The 27,908-nt window shown below is 37.7% G+C and overlaps 1 protein-coding gene across 5 annotated transcripts; it reads left to right on the plus strand.

The window, feature by feature from the left end:
• The first annotated feature begins 1,319 nt into the window (after window positions 1-1,319).
• DYNLT5 (dynein light chain Tctex-type family member 5) lies at window positions 1,320-27,908 on the plus strand. Of its 5 annotated transcripts, none has more exons than NM_152665.3 (5): window positions 1,320-1,445; window positions 3,517-3,638; window positions 19,248-19,339; window positions 25,140-25,264; window positions 26,112-27,908. In NM_152665.3, exons 2-5 carry the CDS (start codon window positions 3,520-3,522, stop codon window positions 26,313-26,315), a joined length of 540 nt encoding a protein of 179 aa, NP_689878.2. In that variant the 5' UTR covers window positions 1,320-1,445; window positions 3,517-3,519; the 3' UTR covers window positions 26,316-27,908. The 5 variants fall into 5 exon arrangements, with proteins under 5 accessions (NP_689878.2, XP_047304624.1, XP_047304631.1 ...); XM_047448668.1 differs by lacking the exon at window positions 26,112-27,908 and adding an exon at window positions 22,694-22,836 and having other exon boundaries at window positions 24,375-25,233; XM_047448675.1 differs by lacking the exon at window positions 26,112-27,908 and adding an exon at window positions 22,694-22,836 and having other exon boundaries at window positions 25,140-25,228.

Raw genomic sequence — 27,908 nt, forward strand, 5'->3', positions numbered from 1 at the left:
TTTTGCTGTCAGCCTCTTAAAATTTTACCCGCATTTCTGGAAAACTTCATTCCATGTTTAGGGTAGGGATGGTGGGCCAAAGGTCTGTCAAAGGTCAAGGGTTAAGAGTTAGACAAATTTCAGCTCTGTGATTTAAATATCGACTTGAGCATGTTACTCAACGATTCTACATTTCCTTATCTTAAAAAAAAATAGAGTAATGTCCCCTATGTCATAGTCACTGAACAAATTCAATGAGATAATGTTTATTCATCACCTAGCAGTTCCTATCTAGTCCATAGTAGATATTCAATCAACAATCCTTTCCTGTTCTTATCTTTCTGTGAGTAGAGATTGGGATGGGCAAAAATATCTATTTCTCTTCTTCCAACACTATCCTAACACTGTGCTCCACCGGAATCCCAATGTATTACTGTCAGCTAATGCTAATTCCAGCAGGACACTCATCAAGAGCCATGCCCTTGGCTAGATGCTTGGAGGCATCTTGTTTCTGCTTCCAATGATTGCCCACTACAGGAGGGTCCCTATAGTGTTTATTTTGTTTGCTTTTGGTTTGGGGAGGCCCAAACCAGGCTTAGGCTGGGGATAGTCGCTGAAGAAGAGGAAAAGCCCATTCATACCAGCAGGTAGGTCCTCAACCCCAAACAGCCTCATTTCAAAGCTTCTTAGACATTAACAGGCTCAGAAGAGTCTTGTTAAGGAAAGCGAAGGAACCCAGCCCGGTTTGTAACACATTGGAGTTAAGACCATGAGTTTCAGGGGCCTTGGGCATATTATTTAACATTTTAGAATCTCAATTTTCCAAATCCTTTAAAGGGAAAACATTCCTTTCTTGACAGAGTTATTGGGACGACTAAATCCCAATGTTTGTCGGTATCTGGGGTATCTGGCCAATGTAAGTGCTCATTTACCTCCACATTCCACCGCCTGTGCCTTGGAGGGGGAACGTGCGAAGCAGCGTTAGGAGCCGGGAAAAGGGCAGGGCTACTTTACTTTGTCTTTGCGCTTCGGATTTCCTGTGCTAGGAAACCGCAGCACTTCCCACTCCTGCCCCTGATGTCTGCGGGAAAAGGAACTTGATGAGGGGCCCTAGGGGTGCAAATGTCTTTAGTCCCAAATGTCTTCCTCGCTACACAATGAACCAGTTCCCCTCCAGCTCGCCGCCAACCCAGGACGCAGCCCGGCTCAGAGTGACCCCCAGTGGGCAGTGAAGATGAGATCCTCTACATCCTTAGGGCAGCTCAGAGGGCCACTCAGCGGCCAAGTCCGGCCGGGGAGGGCCGAGGGCTCTGTTTGAGGTCACCCTGGAGACCGGCCTCAGAGTCCAGGGAGAGTGCGCGGGCGGCCGCCGGCTGAATGAAGCCTGGGACGCGGGAGCCGCGCCGCGCGCAGTGTCTGCAGTGCCGGAGGTCTGGGAGGCTCCGGGCGAAGCCTCCCTGCTGCAGGTAGGGTCGCCTCTCTCTGCAGCGCGTCTGGACCCCAAAGGAAGGATAGGGGGCAAGGGATCGGCCCTTTGTTGAGAAATGGCCCTACTTGGCCCCGATCTCTCCGCCACCTTATTCCTCCTCTCCCCAACACATAAGAAAAAATGATCCCAAATTTGGGAACTGAAAGTCGGTCCCAACGGTTCGTCCCCTGCCCCATTGCATGGCTGGGGGCTGGGCTTCAAGAGTGATGGCCAACGCAGAGCCGGCCAGCAAGGTCATCCCCTGACCCGGGGCGGTCTTCCTGTGGCTGGCCGCACCCATGAGGACCTCCAGGTCCCAACTCTGGCCTTTCTTGGGGAGGGGGCGGCCTGCAGGGCAGCTTTGGAAACAGCTGAGGCCGAGATGGGTCTATGTGGCTTTGCAGCAAAACCTGAATGACCCACCTAATCAGGCTGTGTGTCTTTCCACACTCATAAACACACTCACCTTCGTACACACGAACACAGACACACTTATACACACAGGCACCTGCACACACAGAGATGCACACTCACAGGTACACACTCAAGGACGCTCACACTCACGTGCACACACACACCACGCTGCCTGCCTCACCCACACACAGCACCTCTGCTCTGACATTGATGCCACTGGGTTTTAGGGTATGTTCTTGTGTGCCCTACCTACTCAACTGCCAGCTCCTTGAAGGCATGGATTCTCTTCTATTTTTATGCTTTGGTGTCTAGCACAGTATTTCCTTATCGGGGCTCTCACATTTATAGATTATGAAATAATTTAAATGAATACTTAAATTTGTAGGTAGACAATGAGGGCATTATTAGAGTTATAGTCCAAGTTCTGGGAAGTCCATTGCTACTACCAGCTTTTTAACAAGTATTAGTAGGAAGGAGGGAGTTTTCCAATAAATTATTTATTTAAAAGTTAAGTCCTATTTGCTCTTTACAAACTATGTAAATGTTGCTCGAGAAAACAAAACAAACAACAAAAAATCTTTGGGAAAGCAAGGTTAATTTTAATTTTTATTTATTTATTTATTTTCTAGCTCCCTACCCCTAATTTTATTTTTTAAAGTCATGGTGGGTCAGGCACAGTGGTTGATGCCTGTAATTCCAGCACTTTGGGAGGCCAAGGCAGGAGGATCACTTAAGGCCAGGAGATTAAGGCCAGCCTGGGCAACACAGAAAGATCTTGTCTCTACAAAAATGTTTAAAAATTAGCTAGGCATGGTGGTGCAGGCCTGTAGTCCTAGCTACTAGGGAGGCTGAGGTGGGTGGACCGCTTGAGCCCAGGAGTTTGAAGTTACGGTGAGCTATGATCATGCCACTGCACTCCAGCCTGGGTAACAAGAGCTAGATCCTGTCTCTAAAATAATAAAATAGGCCAGGTAGAGTGGCTCATGCCTGTAATCCCAGCACTTTGGGAGGCTGAAGCAGGATTGCTTGATCCCAGGAGTTCAAGACCAGCCTGGGCAACATAGACCCTATCTCTACAAAAAATTAAAAATTAGCCCAGCTTGATGGCATACACCTGCAGTCCCAGCTACTCAGGTGGCTGAGTTGGGAGGAACGCTTGAGCCCAGGTGTTTGGGGCAGTAGTGAGCCATGATCATGCCACTGCACTCCAACCTGGGTGACAGAACAAGACCCTGTCTCAAAAATAAAATATAACAGTGACAGCAAATATTAATTAGCAAAGTTGTATTATGGTTACATTTGGGGGGCAATACAAATATTGGTTTCTGATGTAGGATAGCATCTTTCTGCTATACATGCATATCTTTTGTCAATGACCTCCGTCTTCATCAGCTAAGCATTTTTGCTATAGCTTAATATCTGCTTATGTAAATAATTATACTATTGCATAAATAAGCATTTTCAGAGTTATCATAGTTCCAGTTTCACTGATCAGAATAACAACAAATTCTATATATTGCTCTTGAGGAAACCCCACTTTCCTGTTCAAAAATGGTAGGAAAACTATCTGTGTACTTTGAGATTAGTCCCTGTTATACTAACTAAAATGTTTCCGGATCTTTCTTTTGCTATTTTACAAAAGTCTTCTTCCATAGGTTATGATGATGTCAGACAATGCTAAAGGCAGAGCAGCTCATTCATGGAAGAAAAGAGGGAGTATTTCTTCTCTAAGTAATCATGAATTTTGGCGAAAGGAAATTCATGGGCGCATCAAAGAGTGAGTAACTGTCTAAAATTGTAAATTCATTTATTGAATAAATAGGTTCGTAATGTTTATTAGGAGAAAAAAACACTTCCTCGGGGACATAAAAAGAGATAAAATGGGCAAGTACAAGGTGCAGGTCATCTTTAGGGGCCATATTTAAAAAGAAAGAGAAAGAGAGAAAGCTTAAGTGATAAGTTAATCCTAGCAGCATTTTTGCTATTTCAAAAATCATCCCAAAAAACCCTCTGCTCAAAAGAAACACCACATGCAATGTAAACCAGACACGCTTATATGTCTTTTGAGTTCTTCTCCTCAATATTTTATAACATAGGTTTTGCATTTTTGTAATCAATACATACATATACAATGTACTTAACATTATTGTATATAATTTTGTCATGTATTTTCATAGTTTTTTCCATATCCTCTTAAATGACTGCATAATATTTTGTCAATTTATGATTCTGGGTTCCTTAACCATTCTCTAATTATTGGACACTTTAAGTTTGTTTCCATTTTTTTTCTTTTTTACTATATGTCTGTGCTTGGTCATTTCCCAGAAGAATAATTAGTAGGTCAAAGGGCAATAAGTAGATTTTTTGGTTCTTGCTACATGTTGCATCTTCTCTCCTAAAGATATACATCAATTTTTAATATTTTCATGGCATTTCCTTTTGACTGCTGTTGGGAAGAAAACAAAACAAATTATCGACGTAGCAGTCAATTAATAATAGACTTTCGTTCTTAGTTTCTATAGCTTTGGAGGATGTTGTATATTGAGTATATATTGGGAAGCAGGAGCTAGGGTGTCCTGCAGAACAGAGAGTAGAAGAACTGGAATAATTAGAATTCTGAAACCAAAATCTTTCTATTCTCAGAGTGTATTAATGCCTACTTGCAACTCCACATTCCAGCCCTGGAAGTCTGTGGATTACACATACAATGCCTTTTACAGGTGGGAAACTGACTATAAAGGAGTAGCAATCCCAGCACATGTCAGAAGTAAAGGTGGGAGAATGATTAATCTTTGTAATTTTTGCTTCTAAACTTTTCTGGCTGCTATTTCCAATAGTTAAGTGCAAGGGTTATTTTTTAAATTATTTAAAACTGATTGTTGGCTTAAATTCAACTTACGTTTTCCAAGAAACTATTTAAGTAATAGTCTGACATAAATTACGTACCCATGATATTTTTTTAAATACTGTCTCCAAAGATTAAATTGTAATTCCTATTTGCATGACTTTTACTTATCTTTTCCCCTTCAAAACAAATTTGTCATATAGAATCAGAGTGTGGCTACATTTGAAGAATTAGAGATCACTCTTTTTAACCTATTATTGATGAATATAAATACATATTAAAAATAAGAATACAAAAATCATATTTATCAACACATTAGGATAGATTTTTCACTGACAACTACATTTAAATGATAACTATTTTGGTTTTGGACTCCCAAACAAAACATTTAGAATGGAACCTCTATTTGTACTTTTTTTCTTAAATAGCAAATGATCAGCTTCCAAGTCCCCTTGCAATGCAGACTATTTAGGAGGCTCCCCCACCCCATGCTAACTTGTATTAATACTTGCTTTCCATTGGCTTCCTCACTGTCTGGAATTAGACAGTACAAGTTATTCTCCTTCATGAATGAGGCTTCAACTAGTAGAAAAATTCTGAAAGCTTAGTGACTATCAAATACAGGCATTGTTTTGAAATTGCAGTGTTTTATGGAAAAACATATAACTTTCATTTGAAAATTACTTTAAAACAATTTTGAAAATATAAATTTCAATAATGTAAAACATTCTGAAGTTTATTAAGGACTGAATACATTATCTCACTGAATCTCCCCCGCATTAATCCTACTAGGTAGGCATCATTTCTACCACTTTACTATGAAATAACTAAAGTTTACAGGTCAAGTAATTTGACTTAATGATTAGGATACAGTCCCAAATCCTGACTATGAGATACAAAGTCCACAGACCCCTATCTACTTCCATAGCACCATCTTCCCCACCATCTTGCGGGCATCATCCCCTCCAGCTATACTCAGTTATTCCTCAGTGCTCTATCTGGCCCCCAGCCATTGCCCCATGTTGCTTCCCCATGGGGTACCCCGACTCCTTGCCTGCAATGCTCTTCTTACACTATTCCCCTGGCTTTCTTCACTTCTTCCATCAGAATTTCGCTCCATCTCCACCTTTTTGGGAAGTGCTCTCTAATTACTCATCTATGACCACCTTTACCTCCAGACTGCATTGGATGATCTGCCTTTCTTCTCCTACTGCTTTTGCCTTCGATATGCACTATATTTGGTGATTTGCTTGTCTATCTCTTTCAACAGACTATGGACTTATTTGTCTTTTTAGCGGTAACCACACTTATAAGGAGGACATGAAGAGTAAAGGTAGACCTCCTTGAAAAGCTGCTTCTTATATGTGGTATAAGATCAGCACAGATTTAGCCCTACAGTCTTGGTTTCCATGTCTACAGTCTTCCACAGTTGTAACTAATGCTTAACAATGATCCCCAGACAGAATAAATATCTGAAATGCCTTCTGAATTACAAAAAGAAGATTAAATTTATATTAAATATTATTGTGAACTGTTTTCAAGATTGGGTCTGTTTTTAAGTTATCTTTTCAATTTAATGTAATTTTTATGTTTTATTAAAGAAAAAACAGAAACATCTTAAGCTGGATCTTATTATCCTAACTGTTAGTGTGTTGGCATATTTCTGTTAGACCTGGACATACATATATCAGACCCATGCTGTCTGAGTCCAGACAGTACACTACACAGTGGTCATCATACTCCATCTGTAATTTCAAATTATTTTTTACCTGAACAATTTATAATAATAAGGATGATAATAGCTAACATTTATAGGGCCCTTGCGATGAACCTTATTTATGTATCATAGAAGCTCCATAATAGGAGTTGGCAAACTATGACCCAAGGGCCTATTCCAATCTGCATCTGTTTTGCTAAATACGATTTTTACATAGGTGAAAAAAATCAAAAGGGGAACAGTTTTTTTTGCAGCATGTAAAAATAACAAGAAATTCAAATCTCTATATGCATAAAGTTTATTAGGACACAGCCATTCCTATTCACTTGTGCGTTGTCTCTGGCCACTTTCGCACTGTAACAGCAGAGTTGAGTAGTTACAATAGAAACCGTAGGGCCTGCAAATCCAAAAATATCTGCTATTTGGCCTTTTACAGAAATGTTTGCCAACTCCTGCTCTATAAAGATAGATGTTATTATCTCCCCCATTCGACAAATGAAGAAGCAGAAGCTTAGAGAGATTGAGGCTCCAAAGCTACAGAATTAACAAGCAGCAAAAATGGGCTTTTGTTTATTAGTTGAGTATTTTCATTTCCTGAAAATTGGCAATCCATGTGTGATTTGCATTAATAAAACTATTCTGTTCATTCACCAGAACCTTCTGTTTCCCGTCCACAGTAAGAGCAGGTCTTTACAATTACATCTTTCTTATTGGAAGCTCAGACTTTGGCAGACACTGAACAGTGTTTGAACAGATGTGCTTCTCTCATTTCCTTAAAATGGAAACAGAAGCTATGAGGTCAAGTTACTTTCACAGGATCATGTGACATGATGTCTAGGCTTGTTATCTGTGAGGCCAGGAGTTCCACTAGTAGATTAGGGACAAGGTTGGGGGCTGAACATTCTCTCCTTTGCCTCAAACCAAAATTACAGTGATGTCATGTTACCAGAACTTTCTGTATGGATCCCACAGCTCCCCGTGTGAACCCACTGATGGCATCTAACATACCAGTTAGGCCACACTATATGTATTTCTTCATTTATTCAGGATTTATTAGCTTCTATGTGCCAATTACTGTGCCACATATTAGGCATATAAAGGTGAATAACTACAGGTTTCTAATTTAGATAAGTTCATTTTTCAGGGAAACTGAGAGCTGCCTGGTAACTTTTTTCACATTGTCTAGGTCTTGCCAGTAAAAGTGACCAAAATGGAAATGATTGCATTCATTACTTCATTTCAACAGTAATGAATTTATTCTATCATTCAATCTATACTACTGTGAGCTGTTTACGGGCAATTGAAAATGGTGCTGCCAGAACAATTTCTTCATTTTGATACCTGAAGGAGAAGGCTAGAGATTAGAAGATCAGAGTTAGGAGATAAGTTGTATCACCATGTATGTTAAACTAAAGCCCCCAACAAGACCTACCTGAGATATAGCCTCCCCCAAAAAGAGAAAATAGTTTGGGAAAACTGAAATGGCCATGTTTCCAAATGAAACCACAATAACAACTAATATTGTATTGTCATTTTAGGTTATTAAGCCATTTCACATACAATATCTGTGTAAGTTAAACAGACAAGATATTTTTATCCCCATTTATGTTTGTAAATGGGGAAATGATAGATTGTGTTGGCAGAAAACTGGCTCATTATAGGGAGGAAAATGAAGCTGGCCTCCTACCTTATATGCTTTGCATAGGTAAACTCCAGATGGAAGACCAAAATGTGGGAATCTATTAACAAAGCTAAGAGAAGAAAGCACAGGCCCATATCTTTATGTTCTAGGAGTAAGGAAAGATTTCTGAAAGAAGATCCCAAAATGAAAACTCACACCATAGAGCAAAATAATTTTTGGATAAATATAACCACAATAAAATCTAGGGCTTCTGCTCAACAAAGGATACAATAGACATAATTAATAGGCTGGCTGAAGATACATACACGTTTTTTTAAACCCTGTACATTAACAACTTATGCTAGGAAAACAATTTTTAAAATAGTCAAAGAAGACAGCAATTTTCAGAAACAAAGCCCAAATAGCTAAGCAGAATATGAAGAGGTGCTAAAACTCACTTTCAAGCAGAAAAAATATAAATTAAAACAAAATACCATTTTGCACCCATCCAAATGGCAAAACAGAAGAAAAGAGAATAATACCAAATGTTGGCAAGGCATGTGAGAGTAAAACCTGATATCGCCATTTGGCAAAGAAAGTTAATGGTTTTTAGAAAATACAGGGGTGTGTCTGCTTTATCAGAGTAAGAGCTTACAGAATAATGGCTCACAAAGCCCTACATGATCTAGCTACCTGATACCTTTGCAACTTTATCTTCTTTCACTCCTTTTCTTCTTCCTCCCTCTGCTACTTGTCTCTATGCATTTTCTCAAACACACTAGCAGCCTCCTGTCTCAAAGCATTTGCATGTGCTGTTCTCTCTTCCTAGTATACCTTTCCCTCAGCCATCCATGTGGTTCATTTCCTCACCTCCTTTCTTTGTTCATGAAGGCCTACCTTGACCACTTCATTTGAAATTGCACATCACATCTTCTCCTCCACCCACTTCCAAACTCCCTTAACCTGCTCTATTTTTTCTCTTCCCTGAGGCATGTATCACCTTTTATCATAATATATAATTTGCTTGTTTAGTATTTTATTGTCTATTCTCTGTCTTGCCTTACTAAAGTAACAGTTCCATGAGAGCAGAGACCATAGTTTGTTTTTGTTTTTGTTTTTTTTCCAGTATTGCATCCCAAAGACCTAAAATAGTGCCTGGCATATAATAGTCACTCAGTACATATTTTGTGATCATCGAATGAATAATTGTTGCATTTTATCAATTCCTGAGCAAGCAAGTTTCTTTTGCTCACGAACAAGTTAGGTTCACAGGTCCATGCATGTGTTAAGTCCAGGTTGACTAGGGGCTTTCCTCTTATAGACATAAGATGCATTTACAGCAAATAGAAAAATGCTTGTTCAGATTTTCTTAATGTATACCTTTACCTCCATGCTGACACATTCCATTGTGCATCTATTTTTAAAAAACCCAAAAGAACAGTTTCATTTGTGTTGGAAATCTGTTGTAATAGGCCACACTCCTCCTTGATGATCTCCACAGCTTTGTAGAGGTATTCATGGCACCTGCACTACCAGCATCACCTCTGATGATTGCCCAGCGTGACACAGCTTTGAACCAATGCATTTCATCCAAGAGCTGCAACAAAAGTTCATCAGCTGTGCTTAACTATCACCTCCCTTGCTCTTGGATGAGCATTAGCTCAACAGGCTTCAGACACTAACTCTGATCTTCTATCCACATACTTAAAATTGTTGTACTTTGTCAATCACCATTTCTGGATTACCTTCAATTACTCCAGAGCTGCGCTTTTCACAGGTTGCATGGTTCATTCTTTATCCTTCAGCATCACTTCTACTCGAAAAAAATATGTTCCACAAGACAGTGTCATTTGTCATGTTCCTGCCTCTTTCATTTTTGAAAATTATCTTTTCTTTCCATTATAGCCTTTCTCTTACTAGTAAAATGGAGCAAATAATGTGAGTAAAATACCTAAAAACTACAGGCATACTTTGGCAATATTGCAGGTTTATTTCCAGACCATTGCAATAAAGTGTATTTTGCAATAAAGGAAGTCACATGAATGTTTTAGTTTTCCAGTGCACATAAAAATTGTTTACACTGTTCTGTATGTAGTCTATTAAGTATTCAATAGCATTTTATCTAAAGAAAAAATGTACATACCTTAGTATAAAAATCCTTTATTGCTAAAAATGCTAATGATCATCTGAACCTTCAGCAAGTTGTCATCTTTTTGCTAGTGGAGGGCCTTGCCTCAGTGTTGACATCTGCTGACTAATCAGGGATATGGTTGCTGAAGGTTGGGATAGCTGTGGCAATATCATAAAATAAGACAACAGGCTGGGCAAAGTGACTCACGCCTATAATTCCAACACTTTGGGGAGCCAAGGCAAGAGGATCACGGCAGCCAGGGGTTCAAGACCAGCCTGGACAACATAGTGAGACACCCCCTTCCCTACAAACAAATCAGCCAGGCATAGTAGTACCTGCCTGTAGTCCTAGGTACTTGGGAGACTGAGGCAGGAGGATCCCTAAGCCTGGGAGGCTGAGGTTGCAGTGAGCTTTGATCATACCACTATACTCCAGCCTGGGCAACAGAGAGAGACACTATCTCAAATAAAATAAAAATAAAATGAAATGAAATAATAAAATAAATTTTAAAGCTTGCCACATCAATGGACTCTTCCTTTCATGAAAGATTTCCCTGTAGCATGTGATACTGTTTGATAGCATTTTACCATGGTAGAACTTCTTTCAAAATTAGTCCATTCATCTCAAACCGTGCCACTCCTTTATCAACTAAGTGTATGTAATATTCTAAATTATTTGTTGTCATTTCAACAGTGTTCACAGCATCTTCACCAGAAGTAGATTCCATCTCAAGAAACCACTTTCTTTGCTCATTTGTAAGAAGCAACTCCTCATCTGTTTAAGTTTACCATGAGATTGCAGCAATTCAGCCACATATTCAAGTTCCATTTCTTTTTTAACCATTTTAAATTTTATGTTTTTTATTGAAAATTTCAATTATGCATATTCATGGGGTACATAGTGATTTTTCCATAAATATAATGTATAGTAATCAGATCACGGTGATTAGCATATCCATTATCTCAAACATTTAGTATTTCTTCCTGTTGGGAACATTCAATGTCCTCTTTCTAGCTCTTTGAATCTATGTATTATTTTCATCTATGGTCACCCTACAGTGGTAAAAACACTAGAACTTATTTCTCCTATCTAGCTATAATTTTGTATCCTTTAACAGTAAATCAAGTTCTCTTTCTATTTCCACTGCATCTGCAGTTACTTCCTCCACTGAAGACTTGAACCCGTCAAAGTCATCCCTGAGGGCTAGAATCAACTTCTTCAAAACTCCTGTTAATGTTGACACTTTGACCTCCTCCCATGAATCATAAATGTTCTCAATGGCTTCTAGAATGGTGAATCCTTTTCAACTTACTTTGCCCAGATCCATCAGAGGAATCCACATCTATGACAGCAATAGCCTTACAAAATGAATTTCTTAAATCGTAAGATTTATGGGGTGAAAAGAAGTTGGTGAATACATACAAAAATACAATTAGATAAAATAAGTTCTAGTATTCAATAATACAGTAGGGAAATTATAGTTAGCAATAATTTATTATATATTTCGAAATAGCTAGTGGGGGTTAGGGGAAAAAAATAGCTAGAGGAATTTTAATGTCCCCAACACAAAGAAAAGATAAATGTTTGAGGCAATGGATATCCCAGTTGTCCTGATTTGATCATTACACATTTTGTATGCATGTATCAAAATATCACATGTTCCCCATAAAAATGTATCACTATGATACATCAATTAAAAATACAAAAATAAGTAAATAAATGAGATGAAGGTCGAAATTACTCCTTGATCCATGGGCTGCAGAATGAATGTTGTGTTAGCAGGCATGAAAGCAACATTAATCTTCTTGTACATCTCCATCAGAGCTCTTGGGTGACCAGGTGCATTGTCAATGAGCAGTAATATTTTAAAAGGAATCTCTTTTTCAGAGCAGTAGGTCTCAACAGTGGGCTTAAAATATTCAAGAAACTATGCCGTAAAACAGATGTGCTGTCATCTAGTCTTTTTTGTTTCACTTATAGAACACAGTAGATTTAGCATAATTCTCAAGGGCCCTGGGATTTTCAGGATGGTAAATGAGTATTGGCTTGAACTTAAAGGCACAAGCTGCATTAGCTGCTACCAAGAAAGTCAGTCTGTCCTTTGAAGCTTTGAAGCCAGGCATTGACCTCTCTCTAGCTATAAAAGCCCTAGGTGGCATCTTCTGAAATAAGACTGTTTCATCTACATGGAAAATCTGTTGCTTATTGTAGCCCCTTCATCAATGATCTTAGCTTATCCGATGATCTTAGATCTTCTGGGTAACTTGCTGCAGCTTCTACATCAGCACTTGCTGCTTCACCTTGCACTTTTATGTTACAGAGATGGCTTCTTTCCTCAAGCCTCATGAACAAACCTCTGCTAGTTTCAAACTTCTTCCATAGCTTCCTCACTTTTCTTAGCCTTCATGGAAGTGAAGGGAGTTAGGGCCTTGCTCTGGATTGGGCTTTGGCTTAAGAGAATTTGTGACTGGTCTGATCTTCTATCCAGACCACTAAAACTTTCTCCAAATCAGCAATAAGGTTGTTTTGCTTTCTTATCATTCATGTGTTCACGGAAGTGACACTTTTAATTTCCTTCAAGAACTTTTCAGGCAGGTGCAGTGGCTCACACCTGTAATCCTAGCACTTTGGAGGCTGAGGTGGGTGGATCACTTGAGTTCAAGAGTTCGAGACCAGCCTGGGCAACATGGCAAAACCCTGTCTGTACAAAAAATTAAAACAAAATTAGCCAGGTGTGGTGGTGTGCACCTGTAGTCCTTGCTACTTGGGAGACTGAGGTGGGAGGATCACCTGAGCCTGGGAGTTTGAAGATGCAGTGAGCCAAGATCATACCACTGCACTCCAACCTGGGTGACAAAGCGAGATTCTGTCTCAAAAAAAAACAAAAACAAACAAACAAAAAATCTACTTAGTTATAGTCACAACTTGACTAATTGTTGGCCCAAAAGGCCTAGCTTTCAGCCTATCTCGGCTTTTGACATGCCTTCCTCACCACACTTGGTTATTTCTAGCTTTTGATTTAAAAGTGAGAGATGTGGGACTCTTCCTTTCACTTGAACACTTAGAGACCACTGTAGGATTATTAATTGGCCTAATTTCAATATTGTTGTGTCACAGGAAATAGGAAGACCCAAAGAGAGAGACATGGGAAATGGCTGGTCAGTGGAGAAGTCAGAACACACATAACATTTATCAATTAAGTCAGCTTCTTTATATGGATACAGTTTGTGGCACCCTAAACCAATTACAATAATAACATAAAATAACACTGATCATCGCTCTCCATAACAGATGTAATATGAAAATCTAAAATATTGTGAGCATTAACAAAATGTGACGTAGAGACATGAAGTAAGCACATGCTGTTGGAAAAATAATGCTGACAGATGTGCTCAATGCAAGGTTGCCACAAACCTTCAATTTGTAAACACACATTGTGTGCAAAGCAGAATAAAGTGAGTCACAATAAATGAGATATGCCTGTACATAAAAATCCAGCAAATTTGGAATAAACTAAATAACTGCAAAACTAACTTACCTTACCAGACAAATAACATCATCTACTGCTGGGGACAAGTTGGTATGCTTTGCTCTTGAGCATAACACTCATAAAAATATCCATGGATAGTCTTAGGTGGAAAGTTCCCAAGTAAAGGAGTTTCTATGCATATTTAATCTCATTCTACATCCTGTTTTTTGAGCAGAAGGGCTCTTATTTTTATCTGTGTTACCAGTACTTCCCACTGTGCCTGACATGTTGTGGGCAATAAACATTTGTTGAAAGAATGAAGAAAAATGGAAAGTACAAATGTACAAATTTATACCCTGAAGACCTTGTTTTTCTCTGTGCACTCTGAAATATCACCACTGGGAGGCAGCACATGATTTAATAACAGCTTATCTCCCCTCCGAAGAAGACACACTTAAATGATACTATATTTATAAACATGGTGGTTCCAGGCATTTCATAGTTACAAATAGAAGGAAAAGATGATATTCTGACCTTTAAAGATACTACTTTAATGTCTCTAAGGCCAGTTATGCGTTCAATATTATCTCTTCCTGCAGCTTCAAAACATCTAGGTATAATAATAACTCTGAAAACGTATGGAAATGAGTTCTCAATAATAATTAGATGCTATTGTGGCTGATGAGAATTAACTGAAATTATTGTTACCATCTCTAACTGTCATAATAAAAAGACATGCCTTGTGTTTATCTAGGTAATTCAAAGACTGGTCAGCAAGCAAATTTGCAAGATGTTTTTAAGAAAAAAATGAATTTCATTAAAGAGTAAATATGTTCTAACTTTTTCTTTTCTTTTTCTTTTTTTTTTTTTTTGATGGAGTCTTGCTCTGTTGCCCAGGCTGGAGTGCAGTGGCGTGATCTCGGCTAACTGCAACCTCCGCCTCCCAGGTTCAAGCAATTCTCCGGCCTCAGCCTCTCAAGCAGCTGGGACTACAGGCTCTAACTTCTTAAATAATTTTTTTGTCTTTTTCCTGCAAATAATCAGAATGCATACTATTGGATTAGCATGGTGCATTTCCAGTGTCAGCCAGGTACAAATAAGGAGGATTACTTTTGTTATTCTGGACCAATTTCATGCAGCTACTTCTGTATGCAGGCTGTCTGTCCTCAGCAATAGCACATGTGGTTTCAGATATTCACTGTATTTTTCATTGAATTACAAGTTGTTACTCTTCCATCTGCAATAATATTAGTTAGTTTGTTAAGTGTTCTCACCAGTGGTTTACGCCAGACTTTCTTTTATTACATTACTTTTCATCTACCTTTCTTTCTAAAACTTTATAACTCTCTGGGACACGTTTTGCCAATTGAATTTTTTTCTCCATAAATGCCAGCAAGCTGGTAAAACACATAGACAGCAAGAATATTTTTTATATTTAAAAAATAAAACCGTAGCATTCACTTTACAATGAGATCACGTGTCTAGAAGGGTTGTCATTGTAAACTAGGGAAAGTCTGATGACAGACAACTGAAACCCATCCATGTGTAATATTGTGATATATACCCCAAAAATGTATTGTGCCAGGTATATGGCACTGGTAATTAAAATTATAAATTTACTTTTTGGGTATCTCACATATTTATCTTTAAAGATTTCAAAGGATTTGAGTGAAGCTGTTTATCAATAGAAAATATGCCCAGGTTTTTCTAAACCAGTATTCTGAACTGATATTGGCAATTCCCCAATTTTAAAACATAAAACTGTTTTATTTCTAAAAATTTGCCAAGCTCATATTCTGGTTTAATGCTATTTGCCCATACCTGCAAGCATTTTAAATATTTTCTCTTTTCCTTTTTTCTTTTCTCAAGGAATAAATATCTTATTTTTTCTATTCAACATTTTCCTTCTTTTTTGTTCTCTCCCTTTTTCTAACCCATTTCATTCTAATGTGGGAACTATCAGATCTCAGATTTTTATAATACAGGTTTTAAAAAGTAAACATTTCCTATACTTTTTTATGATGTTATAGTCTTAATTGATGCACAGTCAGCCTTCCAAGGCACAGAAAGCAATAGACTAATTATTTTACCTCTGCATGATAAGAATTTCCAGGCTTCACATGTCCTCACTTATCAGTGGGAGCTAAATGATGAGAATTCATGAACACAAAGAGGGGAACGACAGATACTGGGGCCTACGTGAGGGTTGAGGGTGGAAGGAGGGAGAGGAGCAGAAAAGATAACTATTGGGTACTAGGCTTAATACCTGAGTGATTAAATAATCTGTACAACAAACTCCCGTGACACAAGTTCACCTATATAACAAACCTTCACATGTACCCCCTAACTTAAAATAATAGTTTAAAAAAAAAAAATTACCAGGTTTCCAGCAAAATATAGAAAATTTACTCCTCAAAGCCCCAGTTCCTCTCTAAAACTAATTCCAAGTTTTATGGGTTTTTACTGGTTTTTGTTTTGTTTTGTTTTTTGAGACAGAGTCTTGCTCTGTTGCCCAGGCTAGAGTGCAATGGCATGATCTCAGCTCACTGCAACCTCTACCTTCCTTTCGAGCTGTGCTTGTGCCTCAGCCTCCCAAGTAGCTGGGATCTCAGGTATGTGCCACCATGCCCAGCTAATTTTTTAAAATATATTTTAGTAGAGATGGGGTTTTGCCATGTTACCTAGGCTGGTCTTGAACTCCTGGCCTCAAGTGGTCTGCCCACTTCGGCCTCCCAAAGTGCTGGGATTACAGGCGTGAGCCACCACTGCCAGCCCCAAGTTTTATGATTTATTGATTACTTGTAGCATCCCACTTCCAGGTAGCAAACTCTGCATTAGTTAGACTTTCTATCAGATCTACTGCTGCATATAATAATAAACATTAGTTTAAACAAAATAGAAATTTATTTTTCTCTTACATAAAATAAGTCTGAAGAGAGGAAGTTCAGAGGCTTCTTTCTTATCTGTAATCTGCAAGGTCACCTCAAGACCCAAGATAGTGCTGAGCTCTGGAATATCCACATTCCAGTCACAAAGAAGGGTCAAAACAGGCTCCTATAGGCTGCATTAGTTCTTTTGAGGAACCTCTCAGAATTTCCACACAACAGTTCCACTTACATCTCATTCACTCATAAGCCACATAGGCCACAATAGCACAAAAAGAGACTGAGAATTTGTCTTTAGTCTGCACAGGAATATTCCTACAAATGTAGGATTCTGTTACCAAGGAAGAAGGAAAGAACAACTTTAGAAAGTAAATAAGAGTCCCTGACACGATGTTCATTATAATTTTCTTTATAATAGTAGAATATTGGAAATAGCCTAAAAGGCATGGATGATACATGGTTAAATGAAATCCAGAATGTGTATGTATTAAGTACTGTCTTGATATTTAAAGTATTGTTTGCTATTTATTGACATGGAAAGTTATCCATGATACATTTTAAATTTTTTTAAAGCATCTATAATATGAGCCCATATGTAAAATCAAATGTCTGAAATGATTTTTGTTAATGTTAACAGGGGTTAGAGAACAACTGAGGTTAATAATTTTTTGTAATTTTACTTTCTTCTCTATGTTTTTCTGTATGTTTTGAATTTGTAAAATGAGCATACACTGTTTATATGATTCCTATGGAAATAAAAGGGCACTGAACAAATTTATCTACAATAACTCAAAAAAAGTCAATCTGCAAAACTTTCTATTTGCACACCAATCTTCAACCAGTGGGATTTTTAAGCTGCCCTTATGACATTTACCAGTTTCATAATGATAATAATATTAAGTGCACTGATTGTCAATCTTCAGTAACTGATAGTGAAGACAGTTTATAAAAATCCTTATTTGCTTTTTTGTCTTGGAATTTTCACTCCAGCTAATTTGAGTTTTGTACCACCTCTTCTTCTCCATGAATTTTTAATATGGTGTTCAGTAGAAAAGAAATTGAGTTTTTATGAATACCTTCTGTATTATGCAAGTAAGTTTTAATTGCAGTGATTAATTATTTCATTGTCCCTATTTTCATTCTGTCTGTTATAATCATACTTGGGACTTTGTCACTAAGAGGTAAACAGGACATTTGAAATCTGTCTGCCTTTTATACATGTACATTAAGCCCTTTGCCTCATTCCCTTTATCTCTGAAATGGGTAGAATAATGAATCTTTTACTTACCTCAAAGGATATTGTGAAAGTAAAATGAGATAATTTATGGGAAATGTTTTACAAAGTTAAAAGTAGCATATATAGTAATGGAGCAGACTGACTTATCTTAGAATCAAGGGGTTTATGTAACATTGGGTTTTTTAAGCAGCAGTAATCATCTTTGGTATTGCCCACAACACCTGCAGCCAGTGTGGCCAAACAGGCTGGTTGCTACTTCAAAGGGCAGCAGTAAATTGAGGAAGGCAGGTGTTATAAGAATAAAGATTAAGTCACTCATCCAGAAATCCACCATGAAAAAAGCAGCCAGAATTTCTTCCATCATTTTCTTGGGCTGAGTGGGTAAACCCTAATTTATCATGTAAGTTGTATTGCATTAAAGGATTTTTAAAAATAGATTACCCGTGATTTTCTTAAAATATCGATTTGCAAGAAGTTCATTAATTCCAAACAGCGTAGAACTAAGTATTTTAAATTCCTTGCAAGAAAAAAGATCCCCAAAGATTAAGAGCAAATATCTATTTTTTATTTAATTAAAGCAAAAACATAGCCTGCTTAGAAAAGTGGTCACTCTGAACACACACACACACAAACACACACCCACACACACACACATGCTATTATATCCTCCCCTTTGAAATGACATCTGTCTTAAAGTTCATTTTCACAGGTGGAGAAAATTGAGGGTGCAGCATTCTGAGACTGTCATTAGTTACAGCTGAATTTCCTCTGAACTAAGTTGAATTAAGTAGTGCTGGAGAGACAGTGGGGCCTCCTCTTTGCTTGGGTCTCCTGTTTAGCACCAGGATAAGCTCATATTGCCTTGATAACGAAACCAAAACCCTTTTTCGATGTTGAAAAGGCCGATTGATGCTTATTAATGTATTATAGTTTTGGTGAATTGCGGTTTCCTCTACCACGTAGATGAGTTTCTCATTTTTCTTTTTCATACTAAAGGGATTTTGTGAACTACATATAATAGTGAACTCTTTATAATACTCCATGTGTATATAGAGTTGTCTTCCAACATTTTAAGCTTCCTCATATGTCCCCCAGCCCTGTTTGTGAGCTTTATCTACTTTGAGGAGAGGCTTTATATCAGTGGTGGAGATGCGATTGGCAATGGATTTTGAAGTATGTACTGTTACCCCATACACATACATCAACCCAGGATCGCTTTCTGGATAATTTGATGACCTGGGTAACTGCCCTGGGCTTCAGCCATCACATTGAGACCTGCTCCAAATAATTCCTCTGCATCTTAATATTTCCATCTCTAAAATGTTTTGGACTTTCAATATGCCACTAGGATATTTACATAAGACTTACTTGAAATTTTCTGAGAAAACTTCATCTTTGTAACATTTTAGCTTAAAGCAATATTGTATTTTGTTATTATTGTTATAATAATGACTAAAATTTGTTTTCTCCCTTGTTTTTAGTTCTATGAGTACTGTGTCTTATATGGAAGAACCCAGTCAGCGTGATGATATCTCTCGCCTTACAGTTCAGATGGAAAACACCTATCAGTTGGGTGTGTTCTTTTATCTCTCACTCCTATTTTAAACTTCTAAATTGGTGACTGATTCTCTTAAAAATGATATTTGATAACCTGGCATTGTCTTCAATTCTAGCACAATATAAGGGACTTTAATGAATTGAGTGATTTGATGTTGCTTTAGTTTCTTCCTCAGCAAAAAGGTAACAACACTTGCTGTCTTACTTTTCTTTACTAATGTTTCCCAAATGCCAAACAATTCACTGGGTGGCACTGATGCATACAGTATACTACTGACTTAACAAATTCACTGAGTATTTCTGGGTACATAGATATGACTTAAATGAAAGAGATAAGTATTGATATTTTATCCAACAAAACCAATCAGTGTTGTTAGGTGAAGGAAAAAAAAAAACTCAAAGCAAAGGCAAATGACTCATAGTCCCCTGTTGACAGAGACGTTTATCCATTACCACTGAGGTTTTGAGTCTTTGAAAACAAAGATCTTTGCACCTGCCGCTATACTCCCAGGTGGAGTCCGTGGCAAATATCTTTTCCCATCCATGTTTCCTCATAGACCCACTTGTTTTCTCTAAAAGCGTACCTGCCCACTATTACCTGAATTCATACATAATTACTGCTATATGGAAATTCCACAGAGATTTACCAAGGGGCAAAGAAAGACTCTATGGGCCAAGGTGATTCCATCTGTGGCCAGTTAACCCCAAGAAAATTATAGACCATCAGCCTGTCCCCTCTGGCCTTGTAGCCAGTTTTCTACAGGAGTCCCCAAGACTACATGGATTACACGGCTCCATAATTAGCCAATCTACTGGTATTTTCACAGTGCCTGTGGTGGACAGCTAATATTCCTGCCATCCAATATACTTTTATACTTCTCTGGTAACCTCACTAAATTTCCTTTGAAATTCCACCAACATCACCACTTTTGATCCTAGCATTCTAATGAAGCTGGCACTGGCTTTATAGATAGAGCAGTGACTGATTCTAGGATGGCATATAACCATGGTGAATCCAATCAAAGACTTTGAGATTAAATTCAGAAAATGTTGTTTGGCCTGTTGCAGAAGAACATAAAGCCCTGAAACTTGAAGGAATGTAGGGGCTCTGGCAGGATCTGCCACCTTGCCCTGACTTGAAACTGAGAGAAAACAACAGAATCCTGGTGTCATCATTTGAGTCCTAAATCCAATTGGCTACCCTTTAACTTTTCAGTTAGGCAAGCTAAGTTTGGGTCAGGTTTTCCCTCACTTGCAACTAAAAGTTCTTAGCCATGGGGTGTCTATGACTTTGAACTGTGCATGCTGGAAGGGTTTGAATCAGATTTGAACAAGACAGGGCCAGTGAAATGTGAATCTCTGTGTTTCTACATAAGGATATTTTTTGCAACTTGTTTTCTCAAATAAAGCATCTTATCAGTTTTAGAAGTACTGAGTATGAACCACATTAGAAAAGTAATTTTAGAAAAAGCTTAGTATAGATGAAATATACCTGTATTTTCCTACAATAGTCTATGTGAATTTTTTAATAATTAAAATATTTTATGCTTGACAATTCCCTTTTTATAGCATTCAACCAGCCATTTTATTAATACTTAATCAAAACTGTGTTTCCACTTCTACTTGTTTCTGGGTTTATTTCACATATGAAAGGTATTTTGTGAGTGTATTAGTCCGTTTTTGCATTGCTATAAAGAAATACCTGAGACTGTAATTTATAAAGAAAACAGGTTTATTTGGCTCATGGTTCTAGAGACTATACAGGAAACGTGGTGCCAACATCTGCTTCTGGTAAGACCTCAGTAAGCTTTTAGGCATGGCAGAAGGGAAGGAGAGTTGGCATGTCACATGGCAAGAGAGGGAACAAGAGAGGTGCCAGGCTGTTTTAAACACCCAGCTCTCATGTGAACTAATAGAGGAAGAACTATAGAGCAAGAACTCAGTAATTACCGCTGGGACAGCACCAAGCCATTCATGAGGGATCCACCTTCCTGGCCCCAACACCTCCCACCAGGCCCCACCTCCAACACTGGGGATCACATTTCAATATGAGATTTGAAGGGGACAAATATCCAAACTATATCAGTGGGACTTTGGTAAATAGTTTATCATATCTTTACAATGTAATACTGGCCAGAAAAGTAGAGGGAAATATCAGCCAATCACCAGCACTATTATGTTTAATTAATTTTTCATTCCATTCAATAATGTTTGCCTCATCTAAACACATCTTAAATGAGAGCATTTACATAAATAATTACAGCTACAAAAAATGAGATGAAACATGAGTATCATTCATGAGAGGAGAAAAGGGAATAGAAAAGGAAAGTGTGTTTCTTTTAATAAAATACCATTTATATATTTCTCATTAATTACTAAAACAAATATAAAAGAAAATGCAGGCTGTGGCATCTGTCGTATCTGAATTTGAATACTAATTTTGCTAATTCCTTGAGCAAGGTATTTAGCATCATTGAATCTCAGTGTCTTCACTTGTAAATAGGGATAATAGTCTATACATCACATGGATGCTATGAGACTCAAATGATGTTATATGTTTAAATCTCTCCATTCATCATGTTACTACTCCTGAAAGTGACTGACTCAAGGACCTTACTATAGATCACTAAGAATAAAAGCCTTCCATGATATTCATTGTAACTTCATATTAATTATGGAATAAGTTTTCCACAGGACTTTTTCTGGAACTGAGTATAGTGGCACCTGGTTGTTTGCAAACATGGACTGCGAGCACCGAGCCAAACTAGATTGGCGGCCATCTTTGCTACCACATCAAGACAGCCTGCCTTGAGAATGAAGCCAGCACAGTAGAAAGTAGATCCAAAATATTGAGAGAGAAAGAGAGAGATTATTTGAGTTCAGCTTCCATGAAGTGCTCAGGCCCTGTCTCTATGTCAGGTTTTCTTAGAGCCTGTCAATCTCTCAGCATTGATTTTACACCACCACATGGGGTCCTTCCTAATCCCACAGGCCTCACTGTCTCCAGACTTACGTCCTCTTTCATCTTGCTGCCTTCTCAGCAAGGTAAATCCCCAATTCTTCCTTCAGCATGCAATAACTACAATAACAGCAATAACACTAATAAGATCACATATCTAAGGAGTGTTTTATTGTGTGACAAGCACTGTTCTAAACATATTCAATTTATTGTCTCATTTAATTCTAACAAAAAAAAATGTAGTAATTATTATTATTACCCCAATGTGGGGTAGTGGAGGCCCACATACATTAAGTAAACTTATCTTTATCTACTTTTTAAGGACAAGTTTTGTTTGTTTTTAAAATTTTTTTTGTCTTGATCCTTCAGGTCTTTGCCTTTTGATTTCTAAAACACGTTTTTTCTCCTAAGGAAAAAAAAAATCTCGAGAAAGAAGAAAAGCTTTGCCATTCACATCAGTTTACTCTGAAACTAGTTTTAGGAGCTTATTTCAGAAGTCAGAAACTGAACATTGATGGATGATTCTGGATGTTTAGGGGAAAGGTAACAAAGAAGTAAGAAAAGAATACTTCATTACCATATTTCAAAGTATTTTCAAAACAGGATCTGGTTAATGACTTTTTTTTTAATCTAAGCGAAGTATGGAAAGGACATTGGTAGCACTGTACAACGGGAACTACTGGAAACAGACTCAAGTGCCACCAGGACCCTCTTTCCAGCACTAACCTATGTGCACTTTCTTCTCTTTTGGTGGCCTGGCCTCCTTACCACCATGAAAAACATGTCCTCCAGCAGGTCCTCAGAGTCACATGGTAACTTTTGCCACCAGAAAGAGGCTGACTCTTTTTTCCTACTTGCAGTTTAAAATAAAAATTCCAAAAAAAGACTCTCATTGTCCTGGCCTAGAGCATTGTCACCCTGGGTTAATCAACCATGCCCTAGGCTTGGGTTCGCAGGAGATGATGGGGAGATCTTTAAGAACCACTTTCTAGATTCAATCTCCACCCCCACCCTTCCACGATTTAAGTGGAATTCAACAATTTCTATATTATCATCAAAATAAAAATAACGATTTATAGAACCTCAAGAGGCTCACCTAACTGAACTGCAGTCAGAGGCTGTAACCTTCTGGTTAAGTTCAGCCAGTGGGAAACCTCAGCTGAGAGGCAGAGGGAGTGAGAAGTGTGAGGTGGAGCTGTTTATTTCCCTGGCTCCTGCCTGTGAGTTCATCACAGCCTGGTTACATTCTTCAACCAAAGGACAGAAACTGCTCCCAAGGGAGCCCTCTCCACATGACCCTTCTGGGATCTATTAAAAGCTCTTCCTCTATTCCCCAATCTTGGGGTGGGAGGGGTGGGCTGACAACCTTACTTTCACTGGCTGAGGGGTGCTGCACTATCCCTTGTGATTTTCTACAGCCCACTCAGAACTTCCTCCTGGAATTATTTTAACTATAGGGTGCCATATGTTTCATTTGACCCTGACAGATACAGTCATCACAAACAAACACTTATTACTAGATATTGACATATATTAAAAGAGAATTGAATAGAATTCTTGATCTCATTCCTTCATCTTTATCAATTCAACAAATAATGACTGGGCTTCTGTATGCCAGGCCCTGGGCACATGTTCATGTCATGCAATGACATTAGTATATGACCAAAGTGATGATATGGCTAATATTCCTGGGATGCAGGAGGAAGAAGATTCATTTGAAGCTTCTCCTCTGAACGTGGATGAAATGTGGTCGAGAATATAAGCTCTAGCATCAGATAAACCTGGGTGTGCACCCCAGCTCTGCCTCTCTGTGTGATTCTGGGCAGGTTACTCAATGTATATAAATCTCTGTTTCCCCACCTGCCAAATGGAGATAACAGTGAGATTCACCTCAGAGATCTATTGGAAGACTATATAAGGTAATATGAAGTGCTTATCGCACTGCCTGACATGTAGCAACGGCTTAATAAAAAGTATTCATTATTATATATGTATACAATATACAGTCATATATCATATATAATGATTATCTATAAAATTTAATTCTATTTAAATTCAGAAATCATACATTAAAAATTTCTTATGCCTTTAGCATTGTATTAGACTCTGAGGAGGATAAAATCCGAGCTTGCTTACCATTTCACTGGAAACGCAGGTATGCTTTAGCCAATATCAAGTGGATTAGGAGCCAGGATGGCAGTGGGGACCCAGTGCATGGAAAGGAGGGACATTTTTACCTGAGAGGAGGTAGAGTGCTACCTGGAGAAGAAGACATTTGAGATGGTCTTGAAACATGAGTGGCTGTTTCTCAGATGAACAAGATGGGGAAAGATATTCCATTTGAAAACTAAAGAGCAAGAGTAAGGACACAGGAGCACCTTTATAGACAGATGGAGCCTGTGAGGCTGGAGCAGTCCACAAGAGGGGCACTGTGGTAGCGGGAGAAGGGGCAGTAGGGAATCACACTTTAGACCTCGCTAAGGGGAATGTCATTTAAGATCTGGTAGATAGATTGGAGCGGGAGATATAAGAGGTAGAGAGCCAGTTATAAAGTTGTTGAGACTTTGAAGTATGTCCACAACAATGGGGCCTGGGAAGGAAGAGACTTTCAAGGTCAAACCCCAGCAGTATTGAACACACTTTTGAGATAGTCACGTAAATGTACGAAAATATTGTCTTCTTGTTCTCTCTCAGAGCACTTGACAGGAAACCTAATTAGAGCCACTTGTTTCTTTCAATAGAGTCCACCCAGAAGATTAAATCCCTCCATGTTTCCATACTCTTTTGATTAGCCTATGGGGTGGGTGGGTGTGATTTGAAATTACTTTTTAGAAATAAATTTTATGTGTATTTTCAGGTCCTCCCAAACATTTTCCTGTGGTCACCGTCAATCATATTTTGAAAGATGTAGTAACCAGCTATCTACAAGTAGAAGAATATGAACCAGAGCTCTGTAGACAGATGACTAAAACCATTTCTGAGGTACGTGTGTGATTTGCCCAAAGTGTTAACAATAGCTAGAATATTTGCTAAAGTACAACGGACCCTCTACTTTTTTGATGAGGGGAATTAATTTGCAGTAACAGTTAAAATGCGTATTTATAATTAGGTCATATTCTACATATATGTGTGTGTGTGGGTGTGTGTGTGTGTGTGTATATACATAAAGCCTTTGTCTAAAACAATCATGAGCATCATTTGCATGCATTATGTAAAAGTGTATAAAACTGCCCCATTTATAAAAGTGTTTATTGTAAAAGATACAACATTTTAATGATTATTTTCTCTTCACTAAGGCAGCTTCTTTGAGTGCCATCAAATACAGACATTGTGGTCTTCAAGCACATTTCTATTTTTACAAACCCCAGGGCTGCACTTCATCAAGGTTTCCTCTACTTTCTTTTTGATAACAAACTCTTTAATAAACATTAATGATTAGTTATATTACAGGAGACTCCAGATGTATGGTTTCTTAATTAGACATGAACAAGACAGTGTAACTCCAATGCCAACATTCTTTGACATGAAGCCATCTTAACATAAATTTTCAAAGAATGTAATTTATTAAATTCTGTGTTCTGGATTATAATTATTTCATGTATCTTAGAAAAGGTTGATTTATTGCTGGTGTTAAAATTTTGTTCCTGAATGTTCTATCTCAAGGGGACCATGCTTGAAGGGAATCATACTTACGGTTCTAAAACAATCACTGAAAGTATCTACAATGCATCATGCTATTAAATTAAATCCCTTATATTTATAACAAAGGTTAATGCTTTTGAGTTTCAATGTAGCTGAATGAAGACCCTCCCTTTTTTTAAATTTCTAGGTTATTAAAGCCCAGGTCAAGGACTTGATGATTCCACGGTATAAACTAATTGTGATTGTTCACATTGGACAACTGAACAGGCAGAGCATACTTATTGGAAGCAGATGCCTCTGGGATCCTAAAAGTGATACCTTTTCATCTTATGTTTTCAGAAATTCTTCTCTCTTCGCTCTTGCAAATGTCTATGCAGTTTACCTTGAGTGATTGAAAATAAGAAATCTAGCTCTTACTTTTGAAAATTCTGAGGCAGGCTGTATGTCTGTACACAAAAGTTTTACTGCCAAAAACTTTGAGAAAGAAACAACACTGATATTTCAAGCAACTGGAAGCTTTTGAATTTTTTCATATTCTAGTAAAGATTTGGGGAGGGGAGGGTAGCCACAGAAAGAATCTTGTTTATCTAAAGCAGGAACTTGATCTTGGTTTTGCTGGATTGCTTTCCATAGACATAGATTCTTATTAAATATTTGTTTTGGTACTAATTATTTTAATTATTCTTTAATTAGAGTGTTACAATTTCCTGCATTGTTTTTTAATAAAAAGAAGCTTTAGAAAAACTATGGCTATATACCCTGACCAATAAATGATAGTAGAATATTCAACATGGTATACACAAATGATAAATAATGTGCCTCAGTGCTGCATATAAAAGAATACTGGTTTTCATTTTGTACTTAATAAATTGAGCAGCATTCATTAAGTGCAATTATTGTTACATGTACCTGACAGTTGAAACTGCTGAGGTAGAATTAATGGCTTCATAACAATTATCGTGGTCCCACGGGCTGCAAGCTAAAACTAGAAGCTCTTGTGGCTTGCCTGCACTTTACACAATTGTGGGAGAACCGAAAGTTGGCTCTTCAGTAATGGAAACTATAAAGTGAATAAAGGCTTTTTGGGACACTGAAGTAGACATTGTGATATTAAATATACATGATGCTTAATACTAAATGTGTCTGTAACACATAAAATCATTTATTGGAAAGAGACATTGCTTTTAAATATCCTAGGCTAACAAACTTTTTCACAAAATATATGGCTGGCACCTTAACAAATAAAGCATGTGTAGTTACCATTTTACTCCTATGAATTTAATACTAAAGTGACCCAGTGAGGTTTTTGAATAGACGGGTGCTAAAATTTACAGGGCTGAAATAGCTTATTATTCTGCTGGTTAATGTATCTTACGCCACGGATCATTTATTTTTATGAAGCTTTCAAGTCTTTGTGTGCAAGTAAAATGATGTTGTGGCGTTGTTCTTGGATGGTAAGTGGACTGCCTAGAGGACATTTGTTAAAGGTCAAAGACAAATTGTACACATATGGAGAAAATTAGCAATGCTGTAGTCTTAAGGAAAAAATGATTTATCATTCATATCAAAAAGAGTTTAGCAAATGGAAAACCAGTTAATGCTTTAATTTTAAAATGTTTTGGTGTCTTACTTTTCCCTAAAAATGACATGTAGTAAAAAATGGATACTTTTAAAATCCCTTCCCTTCTGCTATTTTCTGGCTTTTAAAGTGATTATTCAAAATGAATTTGTCAATTTTCACTTTTTTTTTTCTGTTAGTGCATTAGTGGGAATATGTCTATGTAATAATTTATCACAACCAATATTTGTCAATCTCCATAGAACAGTTTTCAATCTGGATTAGATTACACGTATAACAAGTAAATGAGCTTCATATTTTCATTACACATTGGTGAACATCTCCCTTCGTGGAACAACAGCGGGGGTAATCATATCACTAATTTTGTATGAATAAATGAAAATGAAGAAACTTCTTTAACATATA

The sequence above is a fragment of the Homo sapiens genome, chromosome 1, assembly GCF_000001405.40.
Source record: "Homo sapiens chromosome 1, GRCh38.p14 Primary Assembly".
Lineage (NCBI taxonomy): Eukaryota > Metazoa > Chordata > Mammalia > Primates > Hominidae > Homo > Homo sapiens.

Coding starts and splice junctions, on each gene's coding strand:
- DYNLT5 (NM_152665.3), top strand. CDS start 3,520: ATGATGATGTCAGACAATGCTAAAGGCAGAGCAGCTCATTCATGGAAG. Junction 3,639..19,247: donor ATTCATGGGCGCATCAAAGA/GTGAGTAACTGT, acceptor CCTTGTTTTTAG/TTCTATGAGTACTGTGTCTT. Junction 19,340..25,139: donor GGAAAACACCTATCAGTTGG/GTGTGTTCTTTT, acceptor GTGTATTTTCAG/GTCCTCCCAAACATTTTCCT.